Source organism: Homo sapiens, chromosome 5 (genome assembly GCF_000001405.40).
Source record: "Homo sapiens chromosome 5, GRCh38.p14 Primary Assembly".
NCBI lineage: Eukaryota > Metazoa > Chordata > Mammalia > Primates > Hominidae > Homo > Homo sapiens.
Genome location: NC_000005.10, coordinates 3,863,443 through 3,869,456, shown reverse-complemented (window position 1 = coordinate 3,869,456; position 6,014 = coordinate 3,863,443). Strand labels below are relative to the sequence as shown.

The 6,014-nt window shown below is 44.6% G+C and overlaps 1 annotated feature.

Annotated features, from left to right (window-relative positions):
- Window positions 990-1,490: an enhancer, noted in NCBI's record as "H3K4me1 hESC enhancer chr5:3868081-3868581 (GRCh37/hg19 assembly coordinates)". NCBI's record gives its function as "activates a minimal SCP1, AML or CMV promoter by ChIP-STARR-seq in primed H9 embryonic stem cells {active_cell/tissue: H9 hESC(primed)}" and the evidence as "EXISTENCE:reporter gene assay evidence [ECO:0000049][PMID:30033119]".

Below are 6,014 nucleotides of genomic sequence, written 5' to 3'. Positions count from 1 at the left end.
TATCTGCTAAAGTGTCTGCTTTCAATTCTTTGGGGTATATGTTTCATCAGAAGTAGAATTGCTGGATGAATCAGTAATTCTATTTTTAACTTTTTGAGGACCTGCCATACCTATTTTCCACATTAGCTATACCATTTTCCACCGCTCCCTTAGCAATGACTTAAGGGTTCCAATTTCTCCACATTTTTGCCAACGCTTCTTATTTTCTGGTTTTTATTGTTGCTGTTGTTTTGGGCAGGAGCCCTCCCAAAGGGTGGAAAGTGGTAACTCATTGTGATGTTGATTTGCATGTTCCTAATGATGAAAGATGTCAAGCATCTTTTCATGTGCTTATTGGCCATCTGCATATCTTCTTGGGAGAAGTTGTAAGTCCTCTGTCCATTTTTTAATGGGGTTGTTTGTTTTTTGGTTGAGTTGTAAGTAATTTTCTCCCCATTAGTTTTCAAATTCACAATTCTATAAAATTTATAAAGGAGATACATTGAGTGTAGGATAATATCTTTATTTGAGGGTTTGATAAATATTTTTGGTTATTTAGTTTTGATAAAAAACTGAGGTTTGATAAATAATTTCCTCATTAATAACATAATGTATATCAAAGCTACCAATGCCGTGTCTGTACAAAGTAAGTACTTGATTAATTTTAGTTGAATCTGAATATGAATTATCTTTTTTGGATATTCTATGAGGGTACTGTATTTCCAAGAAGAGAAAAAAAATGAAATACAATTATCTGACACAAGATATGTTAGTGGAGTTTTTTATTCTGTAATGTAATAATAAAGTGAAAGGACAAGATAAGTGAATTTAATAAAACACTGTACAACATAGAGTGTTTGTATATATTAATGGTGTACTTAATGCATAGAATATTGTATATGTAGCAAATGGAGATAATTAATTTCATTTCTTTCGAGAACCTGCTTTGTTTCTCTTGGCCACAAAGCATTCACTAAAGCAGCTAGCTTCAAAGTACCCCCACTGTGGGATGAGAAAACACCTTGTTTTGCCTGAACAAATGGAGCCAATATGCCAGTTCACAAATGATTTTTTTTTCTTGGAAAGTCAAGAAGAAAAATCTTTCAACCAAATGATATGATGCTGAAGTTCTAAAGCCCAGCTCCGAATATCATGTTCTGAAAAGATTGTAGTGAAGAAGAAGCGTGGATGTTTACATTTTTTAACAACTAAGGTATTTTCCCCTAATTAACATTCTTCGAGAATCATAGTAAGACTGAATGTGCTGGTGTGAAAAAGTAGGACAGTTATTCTGCTTCTGCTCTAATAGCCAGAAAGAAAGGGGCGGGGGCTAGGAGCAGATAGTTATATTTGTATTAAATTCCACTTTAAAACATCCTTTTTTCCCTTCCTGAATGGTGAATGCAATGCACTTCATGCTGCAGAGGGCCATGCTGATGTGGCAGCAGTTGTCTTCGGAGTAAAGGCCCCACGAACCTGCACCCTGTTTGCTCCCAGGCTTCCGATTGCTCCTGCTGCCTCCCCGCCGCCAGGCACCATGCAGCCTTCGAGAGCATGACCAGCTCCTCCACCTCCACTCCCACCTCCCTATGATCCAAACACTTACCAGCTGCTGGAAGCCAGTGGACAGCCTGGTTTGATGGCCAATTCCTATCACTGGGGCTCCCTCTGCATATTATCCAAAGCCTTCAGCATACAGTGACTTAGCATGATGTGTAGTTTCCAATGAATGGACCCATTTTGATGGCAGACACATTTACCATAGCTGGAAGATTAAAATCACTTTAATTATTTTAGGTTTAAATTTATTGGTCTACCCTTAACTCTACTCCTACCTACACACTAACACACACATACAAAAACACACACGCGCCTCCCTTTTTGGAACAGAGGCATGGCAGAGTTTCAAAGATAAAAAAGGAAAAACTTGAATTAGATTTTTAAAAATCTGATTTGCAGAAAAAGATAATTGCCATTTTTTAGCCCAGTATGAGCAAATGACAAAGAGCAAATTCTGTCTACCTCTGGCTACTTTCATCATTGGAACATTAATTGCCTTTTTCAACCTGTAACTCTTCAGTTGTTTCCAAGTTAAAATAATTTTCACAAATGAATCCTTATTATTCGCTTTCTCCATAAACACTTAACGTTACGGCATTCAGGCTGCTAGAAATAGCTGTATCTGTGTGTGTCCACTGGAAATGAGGGGCAGAAGATGACTCACTCCCTCTACTTTAGGATAGCCTGTGACAGTCATTCATCCACTTGCCGCATATCGTTTGGGTACCAGCTTGATGCTACAAAGCCGCTAAGCAGTGGGCATCTGAAGATAAGCCACGTACCACCCTGGCCTTAGAGAACAGTCTCCAGTGCTCTCCAAAAGAACTTGATGTGATAATGCAAATGTTGTGTGTCTGCACCGTTCAGCCTGGTGGTTCAACCCTATGGCCATTTAGCACTTGCAATGGCCCTTGTGGAACTGAGGAAGTGAATTTTTATTTTTATTTAAGTTTACTTAACTGGAATTCCATAACTAATGGCTGCTACACTCGTGGCTATCGTATTGGACAACACATGTCTAGACGAAGACACAGCCAAGTCAAAGAGCAACAACAATGTGTGAAAAACATGTGGTCAGTAGAACAATCCCCCACCCTCAGCCCCACCCCAGGAAGGCTCTGGGAATATGTCAGGTTACATGGCAAAGGGAAATTAAAGCTGTAGGTGGCATTAAGGCTGGTTGACTTCAAAATGAAGAGATTATTCTGCCTTATTTAAGAAGGCCAAATGTAGTCACAAGAGGCCTGGAAAGTGGAAGAAGGCAGAATGAGAGAGTCAACTAGAGGGAGACCTAGCTAAGAAAGGCACTGATGGACATGGACGCAGCATCGCTGGCTTTGAGGGTGAAGGAAGGGGCGGTGAGTGAAGGAGTGTGGGTGGGCTCTGGACCAAGGACAGGTAAGGACGTGCATTCTATCCTGGAGCCTCCAGACGAAGTGGAGCTTGGACACCTGAACATGGGCCCAGTGATACCCACATCAGGCTTCTCACCTCCAGAGATGCCAGGTGGTAAATCTGTGTTGTTGAAGCCAGGTAAGTTTGTGATCATTGGTTAAAACAGCAATGGAGACTGCGTGTGGTGGCTCATGCCTGTAACCCCAGCACTTTGGGAGGCTGAGGCAGGCAGATCACCTGAGGTCAGGAGTTTGAGACCAGCCTGGCCAACATGCAGAAACCCCATCTCTACTAAAAGTACAAAAATTAGCTGGGTGTGGTGGCAGGTGCCTGTAATCCCATCTATTTGGGAGGCTGAGGTAGGAGAATGGTTTAAACCCAGGAGGCAGAGGTTGCAGTGAGCTGAGATGCTGCCACTGCACCCCAGCCTGAGAGACAGAGCCAGACTCCATCTCAAAAATAAAAAATAAAAAAAAAACAGCAATGGAAAATGAACACAGGCCGGGTGTGGTGGCTCAAGCCTGTAATCCCAGCACTTTGGGAAGCTGTCACAGGAGGATCACTTGAGCCCAGGAGTTTGAGATCAGCCTGGACAGCAGAGTAAGACCCTGTTCCTACAAAAAAAAAAGGGGGGCAGTGGTGGTGCATGTGTGCTTATAGTTCCAGCTCTTCCAGAGGCTGAGGCGAGAGGACTGCTTGAGCCCAGGAGGTCAAGGCTGCAGGGAGCCATGATGGGCACACTGGACTCCAGCCTGGATGACAGAGCAAGATCCTATCTCTCAAAATTAAATTAAATTAATTAAAAGTTGTTTAAAAAAAAGGAAACACACCCACATGATGATAGAGACCTCTTCCAATGATGAGTCCCACCCTGCTTTGGGGGTGATGGTCATGGCTTCACTGCATGAAGAGTGAGGAAGTCTCAGCCCAGGAGACAGGTATCCTGGAAGCCAGAAGAGCGTATGCAGAGGACCAAGGTCAGAGGACCGCCTGCCTCTCCTGGGAGGGAGCAGCGGCTGGATGTGGAAGAGGGCGGCTCAGAAGGGGTATGGCCAGGGGGCAGGGCCAGCCTCTCCCCACAGTTCGACTGGTAGATCCCATGGGGTATGCACTTAGCCAAATGAGTTAATTTGTGAAATTCCTTACCCTGTTTTAGAAACAGAGTGCAAAATTCCAAGGCTTAAAAAACGTAGGTATCCAAACATATTTAGTATATTCATGGACATGAACGGTGCCAATTAAAGAAAAGTGAACAGTTAATCTTAGCGCCAAAGCCTGGATGCCTGTCTCTCACCTGTCCCTTATCCTCTTCCAGCCGCCAGCCCCATTGTGTCCCGGAGCCAACTAGCGTGGCACACTCACTCCACCCCTTTCACTCTCACTGCCAAAGAAGTGAGCCTATGTCAAAGTGAAGTTTAATATGGGCCCACAGTAGACTTGTAAATACCGCCTTCTCCAGTCACGTTCAAGGGCAGCGTGATTCACGCCCGTCATGCTGCTGTTGCAGCCGCGGAGATGTCAGGAGGTTAGAACTGATCAGAAGGGTTCTCTAGGGTCTTCTCTCCCAAGGCAGAGTCCTCCCAGAGCACAGCTCTCATGTGGCCACCCAAGTGCTCCTGAGTTCCTCCAGGGACAAGACGTCTTGCACAGATGCTCCCCATTCGTCAGTGAACATCTCTTAAGCACCTATTATGCAGGCAGAGCTTCAGACACTAAGGGTAGGGCTGTGAGTGAGACGGAAAAGTCCTTGTAGTCACTGTCTGCAGACAGAGCCCGCAGCAGCCCCTCCCTGAGTGCACCTGTCCCCCCGCCTCACACGAAGGATGGAGTAAACTCCCCTACGTGGGCTCATCTTGTGATTTGCTTTGTCCTGTGGAATGTGGCAGAGGTGATATCATGGGGCTGCCAAGGCCAGCCCTTAGGAAGATGCTAAGGAAGAGAAATTAGACATGAGAGGGCCTGTGGGGAGATGGGGTAGAGGATGAGAGGCCATTTGGATGTGCTGTGTTCTGGCAAGCTCCCAGCTGCAGCCACACTAGTGACCTCTGCCAACCTCTGCTAGAGCTGAAGAGCCCCCCCAGTCAAAAATCACGAATTGTTGTTTTCAGCTACTAAGTTTTGAGATGTTTTGTTACACAACAACAGACACTTAGAATGCTTGTTCAGCATATACACTTACAGTTTGGGAAGAGATATAGACTTTTGTTGTTTTTAAGTCAATGACAGTAAAACTGGATATAAGGTTATTAAAAAATTTAACAAGTGGACCCAAATGGTAAGAAAATTATCTGGTCTAGAAAGTCTCAGAAGTCTCCAAAAGGAACATCATCTCAGCCAAGACTGGGAGGATGAGCGCCATCAGGCTCTGGGAACAGCATTTCTGGAAGGAAGTGACACAGAACATTGCCAGCTTGGGAAACTCAGCACATAGTAGGTGCTTATGAAAGATTTGTTGAATGACTGAACAGTTATGGCGAAATCACAGGATTAGTGGGGGGATTACCATGGATGAGGCTGAGAAGGTAAAGTTCAGGCCATAAAGAACTTTGTGGACCAGGTCATCTAGCTTGGGCTTGATCCTTGGGCATTGAGAAATCAACTCGTTAAAAATTTTCCCTGGAAGGCCTTCCAGGGGTCTTGTTCCTGGAGCGAACCTTGTCTCTGAGTCCTTCTGTTGGTTTTAGTCAGTTGTTTTAGAACAGATTGATCTTCATAAGCCTGGATATAGGATTTTGTTCTGCCTTCCACTGGTTTATTGTTGAAGATGTTGATGGACAAGCCAAGCCCTGCATTTGTTAAGTGAGGACCTGAGACTCCTGTGTTCAGATGACTGACCTGGGGGCAGCAGGCTGCTCCAGGTGGAGTCGTAACACCTGGGTTTGAGTTTTGTATTTTACCAACTGTGTGACATTAGGCCAATCACTTCGGGACAATGATCTGTTTCCTCATTTGTGAAAGGAGGTGCCTCACTTTGGGGAGCTGCAATGACAGGTGGTATGAAGGTCACCTGGACACTGTGAAATGCAGGGTGCCCTCTATTAATCATCATCTCTCCCAGGCTGCAGGGGAGGAGAGAGAGG